Source organism: Homo sapiens, chromosome 7 (genome assembly GCF_000001405.40).
Source record: "Homo sapiens chromosome 7, GRCh38.p14 Primary Assembly".
Lineage (NCBI taxonomy): Eukaryota > Metazoa > Chordata > Mammalia > Primates > Hominidae > Homo > Homo sapiens.
Window position 1 is genome coordinate 116596259 of NC_000007.14, and position 24075 is coordinate 116620333.

Consider the following 24075-nt stretch of genomic DNA (forward strand, 5'->3'; position numbering starts at 1 on the left):
ATGATATGAAACAAACCTGATCCAATGGCAGGGTAGCTATGGAAATCCCTACAACTACTCAAGGGTTTCAGATAGAGAATTTGAACATCAGAGTGGAATTTCTACCAGTATGGGGCACTGATTCTGGAGTGGAGTTGCTCCTAGTTCAAGGAAATGCTTGAGTGTTGGGTTTGGGGCCAGGTATACACTAAGGCTAGACTGAGCTTTTGTGCTTATGTGCTTTCACCACAGGGACCCCTTCAGCTCCTGGTCACCCAATTAACGCTACCCATGACATATGCTGAGAACTTGGGTGCTTCATGTAGGATAGGTAATTGTTTTAGTGTCCCTGAAGGTAATATACCTTGGCCATCTAGGTGAAATACCTAAGTTTAATCATGTAGCTTATCTAGTTCCTCTGAGGTAGAAGTTAAATGATGAACACAAAGGCAGAGTGGGCCTCAAATGGATGCATTCCAAAATTGACAGGAGCTGATTTTTTTTCCTGGATCAAGGAAGGAAGTGAGTATGGCCTCTTGGGTGTTCAGTCAAGAAGATTTGGGGGAATTCAGTCTAGGAAACATAGGCGTCCCAAAGAAGTGCTTGTCAAGGACAGTGCCAATCAGGAAAGGTAGAGGAGAATGTATGTGAAATTCCCCTGGAAACTGGAACTACAAAACAACCATGGATTTTTGTTCTGTGTAGAAAAGAGAAGATAAGAGAAAGATTTAGAAAAGGGATGGAAATGTTATTTTATTCCATTTTAAAGCTGTATTTTAATTTTACTAAACAAATGAAAAAACTATTTTTAAACTATTCACTAATGACCAAACTAAGCCTCAGAAAGGTTAAGAGACTGGCCCAAGTTCACAACTACCAAATAAAAGAACCAGAGTTCAAAAACCAGGTCTGTCTGATCCCAGAGATCTTTCCCCCATAAGGAAGAAGGGAGAGATGAGAAAGGGAAAAGGATGGAAAAGGAACATAATATTAATTGAGATCCTTACACAGGCCAAGTTCTATGCTAGGCGCTTTACATACGTATTTATTTGTATTATTTAGTCCTTACAACAACAGGTAAGGTTGGTATTTTTGTTCTGCTTTCCATCCGTGCAGTTTCCTATGGAAGTTGGAGGGTCCCCAGCACGTGACTCTAACACCACCTGTCACTTTCCATCCAACCTCAGTCTCCCTTCCCTGAGACGCTCAAAGTTTTCTGCTAGTATCTAAAATATTTAAAGGCCCAGACCTATTGATTTTCCTGGAGCTACAACATAGAAGTGCCATTTCAAGGCTGGGAAATCTCATAACTGATGCCAGAAGCACGTGGGGAAATCTCATAACTGATACCAGAAGCATGCTGCTCCAGAGCTAGCCAGTGCTCCTGGTAGTGCCTCGAAAGTGGCAGGCCACTGAACAACCAGAAAGCGGGCAGCTGGAAGAGCTGCTCTTCCACGGCTAGAGAGCATCAGCCCTGTTTTATCCACAGTTATATTTCTGCCACAACTATACACCCCATCCTCAAGCTCTGTCAAGGAAGAGCAGAAGGTATCTGCTCTCTTCTCCCCTAGCACAAAGTTTGGTCAAAGTGGGTCCAAGCCCAAGTATCCCAGCTCGACCTTACAGCCCTTTCAAGTGGTTCATGTAGAAATTTTGCCAAGGCAAAAACGTGCTCCCCAACCAGTTGTTGCGACCAGCCCACTGCTCCTCTCTTTCTACACTCATCATTATGTTATTTTAGGAGTCATATCATTTACGCCTGTCGCTAGGCCTTTCTCAAGGCAACAGTGGTCCACCCTGATAGGTTTTCTAACTTAGAATCGTAGGAAGATGGAAATTTCACTGGGCAGTGAGTACTCTTTGTCCCTGCCCTCCCAGAAGTTTTCTGGGCTCCTTAAGCAAAATTACCTACGCTATTCCCAAACAGTTAATAGTTCATCTTACAGTAGGGGAAAAAAGTTTACCTTCCTTTTTGCCAGATTCTCCTTACACATATAAAAAAAAAGGAAGTACACAGAAGTTTTTAACCAAGAAGGAAGAGGAGGAGAAGGAGAAAAGAAAAAACACACACAAGTTCTTTAAACAAATTAGTGGACAGTGGAGATTCAAACCCATGTCTGATTCCACTATGTCATGTTTCTCAAAGAAAATGATTCTCTGAGGTTCAGAATGTGGAACGCTCTGGAAACCCAGCCAGCATGCTGGGAGAAGCCCAAGCACACGGAGAGGCCACGAGGAGGCACTGTGGTCCACAGTCCAGCCTCTCAGTCAGCCTAGGCCAGGGTCCACTTGTGGACCGTCTGGGGGATTCCAGCCATGAACCCACACATAAGCCTCCCTGATGGTTCCAGTCCTCAAATGTGAACCCTTTGGATGGTTCTAGCCCCAGCTATGGACCTTTCAGATGTTACCAGCCCTAGACGTGGATCTTCCAGATGATTCCAATTCCCTAGTCCTTCCAGCCACCTTCGGCTTTTTGAGTCTTCCTAGCTGAGGTCCCAGAAACCTAAGAATAGAGAAGTCATCCCTGCTTGTGCTCTGTCTGAATTCCTGACCCACAGAACCAGTGAGAACAATAAGACGGCTGCTGTTTCACTCCCAGTCGGTTTGGTGTGACTTGTCATGTAGCAACAGATAACCTGGGAGAAATTCAACAGGGGGGCCAGGAGACTGAAAACCCTGAAAGCAAGGGTTTTGGTCATTCTCAGCAAACAGCATCAAAATGCTGGCAAATGCATTCTGCCACATACATCATCCAAGTGCAAGAGTCTCTCACATTATAATTTTTGGCTGAGAACTCAATATACACATGACTGGGTTATTGTTAACTGAGTATTGTTCATTCTGGGCTGGGAAACCTTTACTGACAACAGTGGAACATTTGGATGTGGAATTCTCTGCCATGGAAAATAGAAAAACATTTCTTTAGTGAAAAACACTGATCATCTGGAAAACGCTTTATCGGTACCTTACTGATGTTTTTCATTTCTTATGAAGCCAAAACAGTTTTCTCTTAGGTCTCGATTATATTCAGAACTTTTAATAAATAGCCCCCTTTATACAGATAACAGTGCAGAGATGAGAAACTGTCCAAATAGTGGAAAAGATTAATCTATAAAGTGTAAGCAAAGAAACATGCATAACTTGCTCATCATAAAGACCTACATTTTAAAAATAAAACCAGAAAATTCTTGTTTGTTTAACATGTATCTGTGTATTATATGTCACAGGTGGTTTGTGTGTGTGTGTGTGTGTGTGTGTGTGTGTGTGTGTGTATTTATGGTTATGAATGAACTTCTACTGCTAAATCTCTTGGTTCTGTCAAGTAAAAACCTAAGTATGAAATTTTTTGATAGCCTCATTTTTATCATTTTTCAAATCATAGTAGCAAGCAGTTAAAGCCTGGCAGGAAATTTAATCTATATATTTATTTACATACTGTCTACTGTCCATAGTCAAACACTTATTCATGTACTTATCTATGAAGAAAATATATACTGAACACCTACTATGTGTGAGGCATGATTCTAGGAACTGCAGACAATGGCGATAAACGAAAGAAACAAGATCCTTACCCACATTAAACTTACCTTCTAGCACAGATAGTTAAATGATAAACAAGTAAATAAGTAGCAAGATCTGCAGCCTGGAGGATTCAATGAAGAAATAGCTTAGACATAAGGAACTTTTGCAATATATGGTCACAAAGAAAGGAAGTGGCGTGGACATTTGCTTTTCATCTGTCCAGAACTCCACCTTCCTTTTCCTGAGCAACCTTGTCTCCCTTCAAAGGAAGCCTCCTGGTGGAGATATTGCCAGTCTCCAACTATGAAAACCAAAGGACTAGAGCCTCTGTCTCCTCACCCAGCTGTAGCGGGGAAGTGGGCATATAACTGAGATGTGGCCAGTCAGGACTTTGATTCTTGATGGACAGATTTCCCACAGGTGTCAATGATGGCAGGCGAACCAGCCCAGGCTTGCAAAGAGGACCTTGCGATGAGTGAGGGTTAACTGTATGTGTCAACTTGGCTGGGCCATGGTACCCAGATATTTGGATAAAAATTATTCTAGATGTTTCTGTGAACATATATATATATATATTTTGAGACAGAGTCTCACTCTGTCACCCAGGCTAGAGTGCAATGGTGCGATCTCAGCTCACTGTAACCTCTATCCCCCAGGGTTCTAGTGATTCTCCTACCTCAGCCTCCCAGGTAGCTAGGGTTACAGGTGCCTGCCACCATGCCTGGCTAATGTTTTTTTGTTGTTGTTGTTTTTGTTTTTGTTTTTGTTTTTGTTGTATTTTTAGTAGAGACAGGGTTTTGCCATGTTGGCCAGGCTGGTCTTGAACTCCTGACCTCAGGTAATCCACCCACCTCAGTCTCCCAAAATGCTAAGATTACAAGTGTGAGCTGCCACACCCAGCCTGTAAACGTATTTTTTAGATGAGATTAACATTTAAGATAGTAGACTTTGAGTACAACAGATTACCCTCCACAATGTGGATGGGCTTCACCCAACCCGTTGAAGGCCTTAATAGAGAAAACACTCACCTTCTACAAGAAAGAGGGGATTCTTCCAGCAGACTGCCTTCAGATTCAAGCTGTAACATCAACTCTTCCCAGGGTCTCTAGTCTTCCAGTTTACCTACTCCTCAGATTTTGGAATTGCCAACCTCCACAATTGTTTGTCAATTCCTTAAAATAAATCAATAGATAGATGATAGATGATAGATAGATAGATAGATAGATAGATAGATAGATAGATAGATAGATAGATGATAGATAGATAGATAATAGATGATACATAGATAGATAGATAGATAGATGATAGATGATAGATAGATAGATAGATAGATAGATAATAGATAGATAGATAAACTTGTTCAGTACACTATGGTTTTTTTCAACACAGACCTCCAAATTCCTATGTTTCTTCCTCTCCAAGCCTGCCCCTTTAGTCCTGTGTTATTCTGCAAGTTGATACATCCCTCAAATATTGACAAAATGATAGCCCTAAAGATAAAAGCTACAGACCATCCACGCAGACTGGCATCATAAAAACACATCTTAAATTTTACAACACCCACCCTTCTCATCCAGTGAACTTCCTTCTGTTCATGGTGAACAGAGGTGCTTGCAACCATGTACCTTGGCTGACACAGAAAAATTGTAGCTTTTGAAACTCGTGTTCTCACTAATATTTTTTGCTTAAGGTATTTTCCAGTCTCTGCCTGCCTTCAGTCTCTGCCTGCCTCCAGTAAATCTTGTACCCTACTTAGAACATTTTTGGCATCTTCATGTTAATTCTTGCATGATTTATGTGTTATGATTAAAGCTTTCTTGTGTCTCCCCAGCTAAGCCCTTCAGAGCAGAGATTATGTTTATGGTTCCTCATGCCACCCACAGTGACACTTCCAGGGCCCCGGTGCGTGTGATGGCTGCTTAGTAATTGTCTCTTGAGGTAATGGAGGTTTAATGCCACCTTCAGTGGTTGGACCAACTTTCAGTTTCAGAATTATGTTACCTGTAGTAGCAATGACTGATTTGATTTATAGAGCATCTTTCTCCCAATGAATTCTAAACATTTTGAACACTTTGTTTCATGCTTAGCAGGTAATTTTTCATCAATTATTTACAAGTAGAAGTCCAATAAAGACAAAACGTTGCAGTGATTTTACTGCGAATGGAGTGCGTTAAAGGTAACCTGAGACAAAGGCTACAACTGTCTTTACTTTCGGTAAATTGTATCATAGCTTTTTTCTTTAACTGGGACTATTATTTTGTCAATATTTGAGGTGATGATAAAAAAGAAACTGGAATGTCTACTGCATTTTCCCTGAGTGACAGAGAGAAGATGGAGAGAAGGGAGAGAGTAAGGAAAGTGGGAGGGGCATTTGAAGTTATCTAGATCTAGAAACTAGAAAGATGCTACCCAGATCTTCTCAGAGGTCTGGAGATGGTATCAAAGCAGACAGAAGGAGGCTGTATGCACCAAGATGCTCCTTCCAACTCTATGTACTACTGTGCATAAAAGAAATCAAGCAAAGGATTGAAGCAAGAGGTAGAAGTTTGCAGGCTGAACACAGCTCTGCTGTGATTTTTAGCACAAGCATAATGAATATCTTTTCTTCAATTTATCTTGACCAGAGTGGTAGTTTTAAAGCATTCTTAATCAGGCAAAAATGTTTCCAAGGCCACTTCCATTTTTCAACACTTGCAATGAGCTTGAAGTTCAGTTTAATCATAACAAAATAAGAGGTTGCAGATATGGGTCTCTCACTTACTTGTATTTTTCTAATTTTAACAAGTTGGTAAAGAGAAGTAGCAACAAAACGGGAAACAGAGCTGGGGACTTCAGTTCAAATTCTTTTATTTTTTATTTTTTGAGACAGAGTCTTGCTCTGTGACTCAGGCCAGAGTGCAGTGGTGTCATCTCAGCTCACTGCAACCTCTGCCTTCTGGGTTCAAGTGATTCTCCCTTCAGCCTCCTGAGTAAATGGGATTACAGGCAACTGCCACCATGCCTAGCTAAATTTTATATTTTTAGTAGATATGAGGTTTCACTATGTTGGCCAGGCTGGTCTCGAACTCCTGACCTGAAGGGATCTGCCCGCCCCAGCCTCCCAAAGTGCTGGGATTACAGGCATGAGCCACTGCGTCTGGCCCAGTTCAAATTCTTAAGTGTAAATTGCTATCTGCTATCAGCACCCAATCCACATTTTAATTAACAAATTATTAATTATATAGCCAGAAAGATAAAAGCATCAAGTTGATTTTTAAAATGCTAGGGCAAAACCCAAATAATAATGTCATGTCTTACGTAGACACAAAAAAGGAAAATTCAGCCTCCATTGTTCTAAACTCTCTTTGAATTTATTACAGAGACCATTAACTGCCAAGCTCAGATGCAAAAAGCAATAAGACAATAAAGGTAAAATTTAAGGCAACTAAAACGGAACTTGGCTTCCAGTGTAACTATCCCATTAAATTACTACACCACAGACTCATTTTCATCACAGTCCAAGTTACATTATACTATAAGACTCTAATAGGTGATGCAGGAAAATTCTTGTTCCATTTCCGAGCTACAGACACAGTGATTATGCTACTTCAATGCATCGTACGCACAGAGAGCAGCTGTAACAGCCCATCATAATCATCATCAAGAGGCATTTATTAGATAGCTCTCTGCATGTCATGCCTAATAAGTGCTATGCAATGTAGGTTTCTACGGCTGATTAGAACATGGCCAAAATGAGGCCCCCAAATCAAATCTAGCTCTTAAAAGTGTCATGTCCAATTCTTATCTAGGAAGTAGAGTTTATACCTTGGCTTCAGGTATTTAAGGGCTGTGGAGGCCTTACAGAAGTCATCTCACCTCTCTAAGCTTCAGTATTCTCCTGTGCAAAATGAAGACGGTGGTGATGATACTAATAACAACAAAAATAATAATAATAGCCTGCACATATAGCAGTCACTATCTGCCAGACACTGTTCTGAGCAATTCACATGTATAGCTCATTAATACTCAGAAGAACCCTTTGAGGAAAGTACTGGTATCACGTCTGCTCCTCACAGTGACCTTGTGTCTCAGGCCATTTTAACCTTGTTTCCTGTAAATACATGGAACTGATCGCAAGTGGTGCCAGTTAAGGGAATAGGCCTTAACATTTAAGATAGAAAATAACACCAGGACCCTACATCAGAGTGCCTGCCTGTGGTATAACAAAAAAAGGAATTTTTGATCTTTGTCCCCAGTTCCTGGCACAGAGATCCTAAAACCTTTGGAATTTCCTGGGTGATAGGAGTGTCTTTTGTTACTCATAAACAGCCCCTTTCTACCACACTTGAGTTTATGCTAATAAGGTGACTCGTGTTGGGGTCCTTAGATAGCTTAGGATGGGAGATGGTTTCCAGAATCATCAAATACTACCAAGCACATAATTAGGTTGGAGCTTCCAGCCCCACTTCTCCACCTGTGGGGAAGGGAAGGGGCTGAGATGAGTTCAATCAGAGAGACCAGTGATTTAATCAACATAATGAAATATTGATAAAAACTGTTGAAAAATGAGATTCAGGGAACAGACCAATGTATTGACAGGGTGGTACCATCAGCAGAGATATACCACCACCACCATCACTACCCTCCGTACCTCACCCTATATATCTCTTCCACTTTGCTGTTCTTGAGTTGTACCCTATAGAATATAACTGTAATTATACGTATAGTGCTTTCCTGAGTTGTGTGAATCATCCTAGTGAATTATAGAACCTGAGAGGGGCGGTCGTGGGAACCCTCAAATTTGTAATGAGTTAGGCAAAAGTGTAGGTAGCCTGGGGCCCCATTTGCAGCTAGTGTGGAGAGTGAGGGATTGAGCATGGGACTGAGCCCTTAACTTGTGGGGTCTGTACTAGATCCAGGTAGTTAGCATCAGAATTGCATTGAATTGTAGGACACCCAATTGGTGTCAGAGAGTTAGAGAATTGGTTGTTGTTGAAAAAGAATTGGTTGTTGGAAACAAAAAATAATGGCGAATTAATTGGCTGAATCAAGCTCAGAGGCAGAGATGGGTAGCTCTAAGTAGGAGTTTGGTCTGTAATTTGTGAGGTAATCTGTATTTCTGGTAATCAGAAAAAAGAAACATAGAAAATTCCTACTGATGATATAAAATATGAGTTTTCCCCAATCATTTAACCTTTTTAAATGTTTTCTTATGTTTTTCTTTATGGGGTTTTTTTTTTTTTTTTTTTTTTTTTTTTGAGATGGAGTCCAGCTCTGTCTCCCAGGCTGGAGTGCAGTGGTGTGATCTCGGCTCACTGCAACCTCTGCCCCTCAGGTTCAAGCAATTCTCCTGCCTCAGCCTCCCAAGTAGCTGGGATTACAGGTGTATGCCACCATGCCTGGCTAGTTTTTGTAATTTTACCATGTTGGGGTTTTACCATGTTGGTCAGGCTGGTCTTGAACTCTTGACCTCAGGTGATCTGCCCGCTACGGCCTCCCAACATGCTGAGACTACAGCATGAGCCACCGCACCTGGCTTTGACATTATTTGGAATGAGAAAATAAACATATGCTCCTCTGTGGGTTTGCATCCCAATAAACCCATTGTAAATTAAAAATATCTTTAAGTCGAAAATGCGTGTAATACACCTAATCCACGTAACATCATAGCTTAGCCTAGCCTACTTTAAACCTGCTCAGAACACACACTAGCCCACAGTCAGGCAAAATGATCTAACACAAAACCTATTTTATAATAAAGTGTTGAATATCGTGTGTAATTGATTTAATACTGTACCAAAAGTGAAAAACAGAATGGTTGCATGGGTACTCAAAGAACGCTTTCCACTGAATGCATGCTGCTTTCCTTCCATTTGTAAAGTCAAAAAATGTTAAGTCAAACCATTCTAAGGTACCATCTGTACAGTTTACTACAAAAGCCACATTTTAAATTTTCTATGAGGAATCTGCATCTTTTGAAAAAGCTTATTTGAAGACCCTTTTCTCAAGAGAAAAAAATACATATTTATTTGGGGGTTGTTATGAAAGGCTTTCTATAAACCTTAAAATGTATTATTTATTTTTAAAGTGTTCCGTTTACTGACTTATTGTCCTATAACCCCCTGTAATACTTAGCACTGTAAAAGCCTAGTGAAAGATGAGGAATATTTGGGCTTAAGTCATTATTCTGTAATCTAAAATACTTTGGCAAAACTGGGAAACAAATTAAGGAGGGGAGAAAAGAAGAAAGGGATAGAAGAAAGGAGAGAAAGAGGAAGGGAATGAAGGAGAGGAAGGAGAAAGTGGGCCTTCCGCCTACTCTGACCCACGTAGTAACGGCTCTCCCCCATTGATTCGCAGTCATTCTTTGTCAGGTATTATGATCTAATGAAACATCATCCTCTATTTTGATCTGTTGCTACTGCAGCACCCACAATTTATTAGGTGCTTGCTTGCATCTCAAAACACAACAATGCTTTGAAGGATGATTGGCCTCGTCTGATCAAAGCAAATTTCATTAGGTGAAATAGCTTGACTTATAGCTGGCCTATAAAACAGAATTGGAAAAAATTTTAATGTCTGCATAAAAATACCTGCCAAAGACTTCAATAATGTTTATTTTTCTTCAAAGACACAACAAAGACTGGGTAGCTAAATAATTTCTTATCTAACTGAAAAACCTGGTGCCCAGAAACCATTCAGAAAATTTTTATATAAACCAAAATAAAAATCCTTTGAAACTTCACCACGTAAACTGCAAAATCTTACTTAAAATGACTAGAACTGATTTATAAAAACAAGTAGACAATATGGTTAATTTTTTAAAACTAAAAATTGATAGGGTTTCAATACAGCCAATTCTTGGTGATTCAGGAATTGATAATCCAAATCATAGATTTTTCCAGGACCTTGTTTTTCTGAAATCTTTTTCCTTTGGCTGCATTTCAGCCATTTTGCTGCTTTTCATCTCAACCACTGAGTTTGGGTAAGTTGTGCAAGAGAAGATCTAGCTCAAATTATTCTGCTCAATTTTCCTTAGTTGTTTGATTGGAAAAGTCCAAACCACAGACTAACATGGGTTCTGGATTCTCTATTTTATGTGATTTCACTATTCTATTATGGTTTGCTGAGAAAAAAAAAAAAGTTGGAGTCATTTGTAATAGCTGTAAAATGGAAAATCTTAGCTGTTTTCCTAAGGAAAAATAAGGAAAGTGAATTTTAAATAACTTAATCAAATAATCAATCAGGATAAGGTAAAAAGAAACAAATTCATCAATATAAATGCTATGTCACCTAAAATATTCTAGTGCTTGTATTTTTTTTCTAATTTTGTCTTAATTCTATATTTTCCCTATGTGAGTATAACCTTAATTATAAAAATGTTTAGTTTTTCTCACTTTTAATAACTTTAGCTATATATAATGTGAATTATCAATAATTGGGAAAAGTCAGATGACATTTGCATTCAAGCCATTTAATATAATTCTATAAAGGCAAATTTGAGAATTTATAATAGTGCAAACTCATTTAAAGATTTCCTACTGCTCCCAATAATTAACTCAAAATTAGGGTCATTAAGAAATCTAAGACCAAAGAAAAAGAAATTCTGCCCATAGACTGCAGTTTCAGCTCCTGCTTGAGAGCTTTCAGCCTTCCTTTCCCAAAGACCTGCCCTACTGATTTCAGACTTGCCTACCCGCCCCCATAATTGCCTGAGTCAATTCCTTGTGGTAAATCTCTTATTATATATCTCCTACTGGTTCTGTTTCTCTGGGTGAACCCTGACTGGTATATTCCCCCACGCTCCCACCATCTGCCTCCCACCCATTCCCCTCTTTGTCTTAGTCAAACTCCTGCTACCCCCTAACTCTCTGAAAGGACTTTCCTTATATCCCATCCTCCAGTCATCCCTGGAGCCATAAGGGAAGACTGACTTTTTCATCACAGAGAGAGAAAAAATCAATTACTCATCAGGAATCATAAATCAGGAGGCAATTTAAATTGTTCTACCTGTCTTCTTCCACCCAACATTTCATTATAAAAATTTTCAAACTACAGAAAATTTGAAAATTGTTATGGGTTGACACCCATATAACCTAGATTCTGTCATTAACATTTTCTTACACGTACTTTATCTGTTCTCTCTTCACCCCATGTATCCTTCTACTCATCTATCAGCCATCTTACTTTTTGATGCTTTTTTTTTTTTTTTTTTTTTTGAGATAGAGTTTTGCTCTTATCGCCCAGGCTGGAGTGCAATGGTGTGATCTTGGCTCACCACAACCTCCATCTCCCAGGTTCAGGCAATTCTCCTGCCTCAGCCTCCCAAGTAGCTGAGATTACAGGCATGTGCCACCACGCCCGGCTACTTTTGTATTTTTAGTAGAGACAGGGTTTCTCCAGGTTGGCCAGGCTGGTCTCGAACTCCCGAACTCAGGTGATCTGCCCGCCTTGGCCTGCCAAAGTGCTGGAATTACAGGCATGAGCCACCATGCTTGGCCTTTTTGATGCATTTCAAAGTCAATTGTCGACATTAATACCCTCCTTCCTAAGTACTTCAGAATATGCATTACTAATTAGAATTTAATATACATTTATAGATCTTTTTGAGGATAATTTTATACAATGAAATCACCAAATCTTAAATGCAATAGTCAATGAGTTTTGATAAGTGCATTCATCTGTGTGACCTGAACTTTACCAATAGGATATTTACATTACCCCAGAGTTCTCCCAAGTTATTTCTCAGTCAATCCTTGTCTCACCACTCCCTAAGAAGAACCACTGATATGATTTCTTCTCCTCCATAGATTAGCTTTGCTTATTCAATAAACTCATAAATATAGAATCCTACCATATGGACTCTTTGTGTCTGGCTTCTTTCATCCAGCATAATGTATTTGAGACTCATCCATGTTGTTGCATATATTGTTTACTCCATTTTGCTACTGAGAAGCATTTCATTGTATGAATGTACCACGGTTTGTTTATACATTCTCCTATTGATGGATATCTGGCTTATGTTTGGTTATTATTAAAGCTGCTATAAATGTTCTTGTATTAGAACAGAAAATCAAACACCGCATGTTCTCACTCATAAGTGGGAGTTGAACAATGAGAACACATGGACACAGGGAGGGGAACATCGTACACCGGGGCCTGTCAGGGGGTGAGGAGTTAGGGGAGGGATAGCATTAGGAGAAATACCTAATGTAGATGATGAGTTGATGGGTGCAGCAAACCACCATGGCACGTGTATACCTATGTAACAAAACTGCATGTTCTGCACATGTACCCCAGAACTTACAGTATACATTTTTTTAAAAAAAGCTCTTGTATTAAAAATAAATAGAAAGAAGTCCAAGACCATATTGCAAGTTCCATTCCTCACATGAACAAATATGTATTGGACAGCAACTACATGCAAAGTGCCATTCTAGGCACTGATGTCAAGGAGCTTGAAATCCAATGGTAGGACAAGATATATGTAAATTACTACTGTAAGATGTACAAGTGCTGCAAGAATGACAGGAAACTGTGAAGTATTTAAAGAGGCTTCGGAAAGAGTGTCAGTAGATAAGTTTTAAAAAGTAAGTTTGGACAATATTGCAGACTATATTGCAGAGGGTTTTTAACAGTGGGGGATGGTGTTTTTATTGACTTCAATAGAAAATGTAAGATTATGAGCAGAAAGGTGATGATGAGAATGGTGTTTCAGCTAGCTTCTTCCAGGGATTGTGGCAGTTTGAAAACAGGTCAGGCTAGAATTAAGATGCCAGTTAAAAGGACATTATCCTCAGGTGAGGATTAATGGAGACCCTGCTTACAGGTGGGGCAGAAAGAAGGAAAGGAGGGAATAGATTCAATACAGACAGACCTATATATGTGACCAAAAACTACTTCCTTACAAGTAATCTGGATATGGTTTGGATATGGATTGTTCATGCCCGCCAAAACTCATGTTCAAACGTGATCCCCAAAGTGGCAGATTGGGCCTAGTGGGAGGTGTTTGTTTTTGAGAACTGGGAGCAGATCCTTCATAAAGATTCAGCACTGTTCTTGTAGTAGTGAGTTCTCCTTCTGGCGAGAAGGAATTAGTTCTTGAGAGAATGGATTAGTTCCCAAGAGAGCGGATTGTTATAAAGCAAACTTCCTCCTGCTATTTAGTCCCCCTTCCCACATTCCCACTTCACCTTTGACCTTCTCCACCATGTTTTGACACGGCAGAAAAATCCTCGCCAGAAGCCCAGCAGATACCAGTGCCATGCTTCTTGTACAGCCTACAGAAACGTGAGTCAAATAACCCTTTTTTCTTTATAAACTACCGAGACCCAGGTATTCCTTTTTAGCAAAACTAAATGGACTAAGGCAAACCTCTAATTACATTATAATTCAACACATACACATTTGCATACATCAGTGAAACAAACATTTCACAAAAACGCTTCCCTTACTATGTGTAATGCACACTAATGTTTTCTATTGTTTAATTCCCTTTCTTTTTTTTACTTAAAAACTGAGGTTAAACCACTAAACCAATTTCCTCATCTACTGGGTCATGACCTGTGGTTTAAAAACACTGGACTGGATAATGCGATAAAGAAGATGACTCAGTTTTAAATCGGGGCAATTGAGAGAATGGCAGTTTCATGCATTGGGAAATATTTCATTGAGAAGCCTCAACTTATTGGGACAACAGCTTAATTTTTTCCAGTAACTGCCTTCAGCTATGCTCCATCAATCATCTCCTCCCCATTTGACTTCATAACTTTTTTTTCTATTTACTTTCTTCATTTACTTCAAGAGCACAACATTGGATAAAGCAGCATACATGTTTCATTATATATTGGCATCATTCATGGCCCTCTTTTTATTTATTTTACATTTATTAGTAATATAATCAATACTCATAAATCAATTACCCAATCAAATAATTAGAATAGTGAAAAAAACTTACATCTATCTATGTTTGCCTCCCCATTCCATCTTTGGCGTCCTCTTACCTACCATGACAATTACCCCAAAATATGTTTATCATTCTCTTGATTTTAAATAATAATTGATCACAAATGTTGGTTTAAGACAAAGCGATCAACTTATGTATAAACTTCTAGGGATGGATTTTTTAACTCAATATCATATTATTACTATTCATCCCTATTTTTGAATATAGCTATGGTTCATTCATTTTTCACTGCTGTATAATATTTCATTTTGTGATCCACAGTCATTTATTTATGTATTCATTTTCTCTTTTTTCCATGAACATTTCTGTTATCATGTTTTTTTCATTGTTTTTACTGCTACAAACAGTGTTGCTAGATACATTTTTGTACCTGTGGCCTGTGTGTGTAATTATGAGCTTATCTTGACTACATATCTAGGAGTAGAATTGCTGGCTCATAGGGTCTGAGTATCTTCAACATTACAAAATAATCCCAAAATCCTTAATCAATTTACTTCCCTCTAGCAAAGTATTGAAGACACTGTTGCTTCACATTCTTTCCCTTTGGTGTCTGACTTTCTTCTAACGTTTTTTACTCTCAGAACAATCTCATTCTGTTTCCTTAAATTCAGTCCTGGTAATTTAGAAATCTCAGTATCACGTGAATTTAAATCTCTCTTTCAAACACCCTTTTCTCACAATCGCATCTTAGGCCTGCAGTTCTAATAGCTTGGAGTAGAGGTTGGGGGCCTGAACTCTTTCACACACAACTGCTACACCTACCCCACCTTTGCCAGTGCTTCCCTTCTGGTCTAAAGGTGACAAGGAAGGACAGAGGAGGCAGAAGTATTTTTACTCAATGGTTCCAAATCAAATTCTATAATTTCCTGTTGCTGCTGGGACAAGGATGGCAAAAAAGGTGGAGAGAGATGGAGGCAAGTGAAAAATTGGGGAGGTGGGAAAGGCTTGGAACACAGCTGACTCAACTGAAACAGTTCATCAAACCCTCAGGGAAAGTGCCCAACTCCTAATGGTATGCTCCATGCATTTAAAATGTGGGTTATTGGCTTGTCGCAGTGGCTCATGCCTGTAATCCCAGCACTTTGGGAGGCCAAGGACCGTGGATCACCTGAGGTCAGGAGATCCACACCCGTGTGGCCAACATGGCAAAACCCCGTCTCTACTAAAAATACAAAAATTATCTGGGCGTGGTGGCACACACCTGTAAACTCAGCTACTCAGGAAGCTGATGCAGGAGAATTGCTTGAACCCGGGAGGTGGAGGTTGCAGTGAGCCAAGATAGCACCATTGCACTCCAGCCTGCACGATGGAATGAGACTCCATCTCAAAAAAATAAATAAATAAAATGTGGGCAATATTTAGCATTTTTTGTTCGCAGCTTTGAGCCTGAATCACAATTTTGAAATAAATCCCACTCAACACCCAATACTCTGTTCCAGAGAAGAAGCATCACGGTGTTAAAGGGAGAGAAGATTCACTTTAAGAACATTTTGAGTTTAATTTGCTAGTGAAACATCAGGTGAGGTTTTCTAGTAAGCAACTGGTAACCAGTCTGGACCTAAGAAGAATAATATGGATACAGATGAGACCCTGGGAATGAGCCGCATTGCTGAAGTCATTTAAGCATAGGTATTACTATGATCTATTTTGTTAATGAAAAACTGAAGCTCAATTAGTAAAAATAACTTGCCCCAAATCTATAGCCACCCAGAGGCAGAGAGATCTGCCTCTGAAATTTTGTAAAATCCTTTGACCATACAACGTTGCCTGACAAAAAGCACAAAGAAAGAAGGCAAAGGGGTACTTACAGTAAGCATTATTTTCTTTGGAAATCATGGAAATATAAGTGAGAATTACACAAATTAAATTAATTATCCTTTATGTAATCTGCTTCTGATCACTCAGAGGATAGAAGAGTCCCTATACCCGTTAAAATACGACTACACCCTAAAGAAAGACCATTCTTAAGGAATAATGAGGGTGTGGGGATATGAGCAAGGTGCAAGCGGGGCATAAAGTAGGACATGGCATCATGGGAATCAGCTAATGAAGCAGAGATGAAAGAACATTGCAGAGGTGAATAGTGGCAGTGCTCATCCAAGCTCCAAGCACTACCCATGGGTAGAAGAAACACGGGCCTCAAAACTCACCCTTTCCAATTCATATCAAGAATACACATCCTGGCGGGGCATGGTACTCATGCCTGTAATCCTGGCACTTCGGGAGGCCGAGAAGGGTGATCACCTGGGGTCAGGAGTTCAAGACCAGCCTGACCAACATGGTGAAACCCCGTCTCTACTAAATACAAAAAATTAGTCAGGCATGATGGTGCATGCCTGTAATCCCAGCTACTTGGGAGGCTGAGGCAGGGGAATCTCTTGAACCCGGGAGGCGGAGGTTGCAGTGAGCTGAGGTCGTGCCATTGCCCTCCAGCCTGGGCAAAAAGAGCAAAACTCTGTCTCAAAAAATAAAAAAAAAAAATTAAAAATTAAAAAAGAGTACACATCCTTATTGTGAAAATAAATTGCATAGGCTGCTCCTCATTTTCCTGTCCCGTGCTCACTATGCAGCCTGCTAATGGTAAAACGTGGCTTCCCTACCCTTGCCTCAAAGACAGAATGCATTGACCAGAAGACAGGAATATCCAGCTCCCTTGGCTCCTCTATATCTCACTGCCATTGAATGTAATTTAATCCAGCTGAAAGAACCCATTTCTGGTAAAATTTTCCATAAGGATAAAGAATGTATGATCAATTTCTGAAGCTAAGGTTATCAGATTCCTAATCCCAAAAGGCTCTAGGCAATGATCACTCTACCACGGAAAGGACTTTGATAAGGCTCTGTGGCCATCCAGCACCTTCCACCTCACTGCTCCCCTCCACTGTGGACTTGTGTGTCAAGTAAAGAAGTACAGCAGATAAGTAAAACGGAAAAAAATAATGAAAGAATTACAAAGGAAGACTAAGGAAAGAGCCAAGTGTCTACACGACCACAGGAGGGAGAATATAATGGTAGGATAAGCAGAGGGTGGCTGTTCACTGTGTCAAATGCTACAAAGGTCATAGGACCTGAGCAAGTAGAAAAGACTTTTAACTATTAAGTATTTTCTATATGTCAGTACATGGTGATGAGCAAAAAATATGTTATGTATTAAAAGCTAATGGATAGCAATGGAAGAACTACTAGCTGAATGAAGATTTTAAGTGGGATTATTTAAAAGTGCTAGGTAATTTAGAAAATTATTATTTATAATCTTTGAAAGGAAGAATAAAAAGGAGTAAAATTAAGTGCTTTGACTTGTTAAAAGTACAGGTTGCTAATTCACTCAATTATACACAGTCTGGGTTTGGACATTTAAGAACATCAATGTGAAACCAACTCTACAAAATGAAGGGAAACCCAGACGATCTCTTGAGTGTTTGTCTATACAGAGAGTCTTCCCTTTAAGAGATGATAGTTCTGATAAAACTGCATCCGTTGATCACAAATGTGAATGGCTGGGGGGAAAGCAATTTTACTTTTCAAAGTTAACTTCTGATTTGAGTCACGAAACACAGTATTCCTGAAATACCTGCTTAAAAAAACAAACAAAACCCTGCCCTTCTCCTTTGTAGTTTCAAATTTCCCAAAATGCTGGCATCTCAAGTGCAACTAAATACATAAGCCAGAAGACCCTTAATAAATAGTGGTGCCTCTGATGGGACGGATGCCAGCCATCCCTTCCATGTCCAGTGACTGAGTTCATGTTCAAATTTCATGTGAAGTTTAGATGGGGAGAGTTCTGATTCTCTAAGATCATCTTTATTTAGAGTAGAGACAGGGACATGAAAAAGGATTACCTAAACAGTTCCAATTAAACAAGGAAATTGTATAAAGACCTATTGCACTTACCTAAACATGTGGCTTAGAGGATCACATTGCCCAGCTTTGATAGCCAAGCAGTGCTAGTGGAATCCTTCTTTCCCAGTCAGTAACCAATAAAGTGGGAAAAGCTGTGCCCCTTGTTCCCTGTCTAAAGGCTGCAGGCGAACAGGCTGCTCATTAACTGCAACCAGGGAGTAACCGAGAGAGTATCTGCCAATTCCGATTTTTCCTTTGTGTCCAGACAGAATTCATTTGTTAGGAGTCTCCTCTGTGACCTTAGAGTTGACTACAGAAAACAATACATTTACATGATGAAGGTAGCGTCAAAGATTTCAGTTTATTAACAACTTGGAAAGACGCTAATTCTGGACCCAGTAAATACACAGATGGTTCATTTAAGGAGGAAATATCTGCAAAGTCATGTTTCCTGGTGTCTGAGACCTACACAATAGACAAGTCAAATGGTTAGCAATCTCAGTAGTGTTTCTTTAATTTGATTTGAATCCTGTACTTTCAATGTTGACTTCTGAGCTTTATCTTGACTTTCTTTGATTGGCACGCCCTTCCCAAGGAGCTGGTTGTCTAGGTGATGAATACTGCATGTCATAATAAAACAAAATACTTTTGAGGTAAACAGTCACTAATGCACTGGCTTTGGAAGTTTAACCTCTCCCCTGATGGAGGGAACGGGCATGAGGATGCCTCCCCCTGGAAATTGTCAAAACAGGGTTCAGTGTCAATTCATCCATGTACTTGCTCATCCTTGACGATCTGCAGTGAATCTACATTATGAAAATATTTTTAGTAAGCTGGATTTTTTAAGAAATAAGAAAAGAACACTACATCATCTCCTGCCAATTGGTATACGGCATGTGTAAATCATTTCTTTACAATTCCTTTCATAACTTATAAAATTCACATTCCAAGAATTTCCTGGAAGGATGTATGCAGTTAGATTTAGGTGGTTATGCCCTTTTCAGTTTCAGCACAGCTTTGAGTCTTGCCCCAACCTGAGACCTGACCCCCAACCCCCGATTATCAGTAATTCCATCTAGTTCGCATAAAGAGTTCTCTCAGTTATTGCTCAGTGACAAGCAGTAGCTTGAGAGAGGTGGGAATAGAGAGCAATATAATAGCCAATCCCTTTGTACTTTTTATGGAAAGTAGTGAAACTGAAGAGAGACAAAAGCCATCTTGAAAGAGTGAAAATGACAACAGGACATCCGTGGCTCATTAGGCTAGCACAGTAGGCTTCCCCATTTGGAGAAATGGGATTTGAAGTCCCAAGAACAAATGAAAGGTAATTGTTTTGAATGCTCATGCTATTATTTATTTATAAGAATCTACACACACATACCACATGCACACACACACATACCTTCACACCTACATGCACACCAGAGAGCTTAGTAAATGAGTATGCTGTGCCCAAGAATGGAAAGGGTAGAAACAGCAGGAGCAGGTTCGTTGGCAGAGCTATACAGCAAAAGACAAATATACCCAGCATACAGTATGTGTGCTTGGCTCAAGTCTGTGCAATTAGTACTTCTATTTACAGCAAACCTCTTGTACCAGCAATTTAAGAGTAAATGACAACTAGTTTGAAATTGTTTGATCAGAATGCAAAATTGAACCAAGGTAGGTTCTAAAGCAGATTAACTAACTCACTTTTTTTCCCCCTCCTGCTAATTGAGAGTACATGTGCTCATTCCTGGCATTGATTTGCTGGCTTCTAATTCAGGATATGAGTTTAAAATATTAATCCACAAACTTCTCATTTTCTTTATTGGTTAATACAACTCATGACAAATTGTACTGCCTAAATTCTTCATCTTAATGCTTCCACTCTGAATTTTTTTCTGATTCTTCCATCTATTTCATATATTTGTCCTTATCACTCCCCTCACAGGCTATATTTTTATTTTTTCCTCTGCTAAATTTTCTTAGAGCAACATTAGTCAGAAAAATGAGAATATGAGTAACAGAGATTAATAGATACCACTCAGAGGACAGAGGCTCAGCACAATGTAAGCTCTGTGCTGAAGAATGGAATCATTGGAAAGAAAAAGAGTTGGGTGCCCAGAGGTTGATGTGGGCTGAGTCCTTCTTTTCTATGAACGTTTCCAAATACCTTATTTGGCAAGCACTGAGTCTTGCATTAGTCAATCCGTTTTCCTTTGGAGTTTGCAATTAATCTAATTTTCCAAAGATGCCAATTTGCCTGTTTGCTGAAGAGAACAATATTGGTGTTACACAGAGGGTAGTTGACCCAAGCAGACACATAATGCCTGATCTTGAAGCCTATTCTTTACAGATAAGGAGATGAACTACACTCTACTCTGTAGAATGACTCACAAAGATGATTGTTCCAGCAGCTAGTGCCATGAAAACCTCTGCATTCCAAAGCCCATTTTGAGAAGTTATTGTTCTTCAAAGAGCCTACTGTTTGCATTACAATGTCATTTACATTACATCAGAAAAAAACTAAAATTCACCTTTGCCAAAAGGAAAGGCAAAATCATTACAGGAAGTTATACTTTCTTATTTCTAAAACAAAAATTGCCCATATGGAGAACCAACCAAAATAAAAATTTCTTGGGAACAAATGTCAACCATTTAAAAGATATATTTGATGTTAACATAACACAGGTATTTTTTAAATGATACCACTTTTTTCACAACAATTTTCCTAATTATTCACACCACTTACAATTCAGAGAAATAAACTCGGAAGTGTTTTGAGACATAAAGAGGGGAGGGAACTTTTTTTTAAAAGACCACCTGTGTGTGAAGTGCTTCACTCAGATCATTTCACTAGACCCTCAGAACAACCCTGTAGGGTCCACAGGATATTCTAACAGGTAAAATACTGAGGCACAGAAAGACTAAATAAATCATCCTGGATCACACAGAAAGTAAGCTGTATATTAAGGGAACATCTGTCCTGAACCATCATAACCTTTCCAGCACAATACATTATATGCTAAGTTTCTTTCTTCCTTTTCTCTCTTCCAAAAGCAAATGTCTTATAACGCAATGACTAGAGAACTCTTCAGGAATATATCACCTAATTTAGTAAAGGTATTCTTATGAATAAATCAAATTCATTTTTAAGAGAATCAAGGATATTTTCTTCTGCTATAAAGTCTTCAAGAAATAATTTTAATGTTTTGTTTAAATTAATATATGCTCTTCTATTTAATGTGCGTGTCCTAATTTGTATTTTAGTATAACAAATTCAAGCACAGCACATCATAATTATGAACAATTCTTCATATGTAAACATAAAGCACACCAGTGACCTACCAGGAGTAGGTAATATTATTCAAGTTGTTTTTCCAGCAGTAGTGATGAATTGGCACCGATTCTTTCTTTCTTCTTTTCTTCCCTGGTTCCCTTGGGGAAAATTGTATGTATTTGCATTTGCCAGAAACTCTATTTAAGATTGAGAGCATAAAAAGTGTCCCAAGTGAAACAGCCCACAAGGGAATTACACCTATGACCTTGGCCTCATTCATATCACGCTCGAACCAACTGAGTTAAGCAGCTGTATTTTCTTAAGTACAAGAACATATTTATTTGGTAAATATGGGAGTTTCGACTTCTCCAAGCCCCTCAGAGACCATTAAGTGGACTTCAGCATTCACTTGTTCAACAGATTCTGATTGAATACTTAAATGCAGACAGTCTAGTACTTAGTGATTTGAGAGCTTAGTGATTTGCATCAAGCAGTACAAGATGTGACTCCTGGTCACCAGGAATTACAAGTTAGTTGATTAAGGGAACAACATACACAAAAGTATAGCCATATGTATTAGGTAAGCCTGGGCCTGGATTCAGAGAAACCTGGCCTTGTATCCTGGCTCTGACACTTACTGGCTATAGGATATCTATCATACGACTTCTTCTTTTAGGTTCTACTTCCTTACATGTAAAACAGAAAGAACCTCAGAAGTAGTCTTGAGACCCAGATGAGAGCCTATTCTTCAAGTTCTTCACATAGTGACTCACATATATTGAGCACCCAGTATATTGTAGCCACTGTGTGAAAGATGGGAGAGATGAGAATCAAAATTTTCTAATCTCCTAAGATTACTTAGTTTGTCCAAAACTAAAACTCTGCCCAAGCCAAAACTATCCATATTCTTCTCCATCTCTGCTAATTGGCATCATCATCTCTAAAGCAATCTGTGTAAACTAATGCGTATACTTCCCTGTCTGCTAGATTTCAACATCTCAATACTATTTCTTGTCACTTAATTTGCAGAACACCTTTACCTCCCCTCTGAGCTATTTTCTCAGCTACTCTCCAATTAAAGCTTTTGATTCCTGGGCTGGACCAGTACCACCTCAGTAATCCCCTGACTTGGCATATTTCTTCCCAGTTTCTCATTCATCCAATCAGCCCCCCGTGTAACTGTCCTCAGCACTCTCACTAGACACAGTGCTAGTCAAGTCCTGACAGCATACATTGGACTTTCTAGGCATTGTCTATAGAGTACTTGTTAAATTGTCAACAGTTATATAAAAATTCCTTTCTTTGCACTTCCACTTCCAATAGTACTCTGAATATTTGCCATTTGACATATCACACAGAGGTCAAACTTCACAATCATCCCACCTGTCCTATACTTTTCCCCCTCAGTGTTTTCAGTTTTTCTATTCTGTGCCTCCTGTACTCTGCCTATCTTGCAAAGCCCTACTTCAATGCATCCTCCTACCACAGACCTCTTATGATGCCTTCTGCCTGAGATAAGCTCTTCCATCCTCATGTTCCAATTACACTTCATTTGTAGTTTCATACAACGTTCACTGCAGTATACTTGTATTACAATTATTTGTATTATATGCCTTTCTTCAAACTCTAAAACAAGCCCCCACCCTGAAAATAGTCATAGCACCTTATACCTCACTTCATCTTACAAAACTTTAGAGCAATAACTTGCTAAACCTGCATGGTCCAATCCTCTTACTCCTTTATTCACTTTTAACACTTGTGCTTTACGGAATAAGGTTCTGTACGTGATCTCCCAGCTCCTAAATTGTATTGCAATTTCAGTTCCTAGTTTTACTTGGCCTCTCTGCAGCACTTCGCACTATTCACTACTCCTTTCTCTCTTTAAATCTCTCTTCTATTGGCTTCCATAACACCACTCCTTCCTAACTTTACCCCCTAGAACTTTCCTTCCTCTTGATTTATTTCAGAGGTGTCTTTTTTACCTACCCTTAAAATATTGGTATTCCCATGTTTCCCTTATCAGTCATGTCCCATTTTCATTCTACATGCAATCTTATGGACTCAAAAAATGTGACCCAAATCCATCAAATTCTTCCCAAAATCCTGTCACTCAAGCTAAAAACCTATAAATCATTTTTAGTCCATTTTGGCTCCTATAACAAAATACAATGAATGAGGTAGCTTAAAAACAACAAAAATTTATTTCTCACAGTTCTGTAGACTGGGAAGTCTACAATCAAGAGGCCAACTGATTCCATGTCTGGTGAGGGTCTATTTCCTGGTGCATAGATGGCTCCTTCTCACTGTGTTCTCACATGATGGAAGGAACAGGGAGCTCCCTGGGGCCTCTTTTATACGGACAGTGATCTCATTCATGAGGGATATTATCACCTTTCCAAAACCTCGCTTCATGATAACATGATTTTGAGGGTTAGGATTTCAACCTATGAATTTGGGAGGGACATAAACATTCAGACCACTGCAGTCACCTTAGAGGCCCCCCAATGGCACACCAGCTATCAAT

The 24075-nt window shown here is 39.3% G+C and overlaps 1 long non-coding RNA gene across 3 annotated transcripts in view; it reads right to left on the minus strand.

The window, feature by feature from the left end:
- COMETT (cytosolic oncogenic antisense to MET transcript) overlaps positions 1-24075 on the minus strand; it is a 124434-nt gene that overhangs the window by 32665 nt on the left and 67694 nt on the right. The window contains exons 1-2 of one of the 3 annotated variants that reach the window (NR_120506.2): positions 18341-18399; positions 4533-4676 (exon numbers count right to left, since the gene is read on the minus strand). The exons of the other annotated variants lie outside the window; for them this stretch is intronic. This is a non-coding gene — a long non-coding RNA (cytosolic oncogenic antisense to MET transcript). Of the gene's footprint in view, positions 1-4532; positions 4677-18340; positions 18400-24075 lie in introns of those variants that run through there. 3 annotated transcript variants of the gene reach the window in all.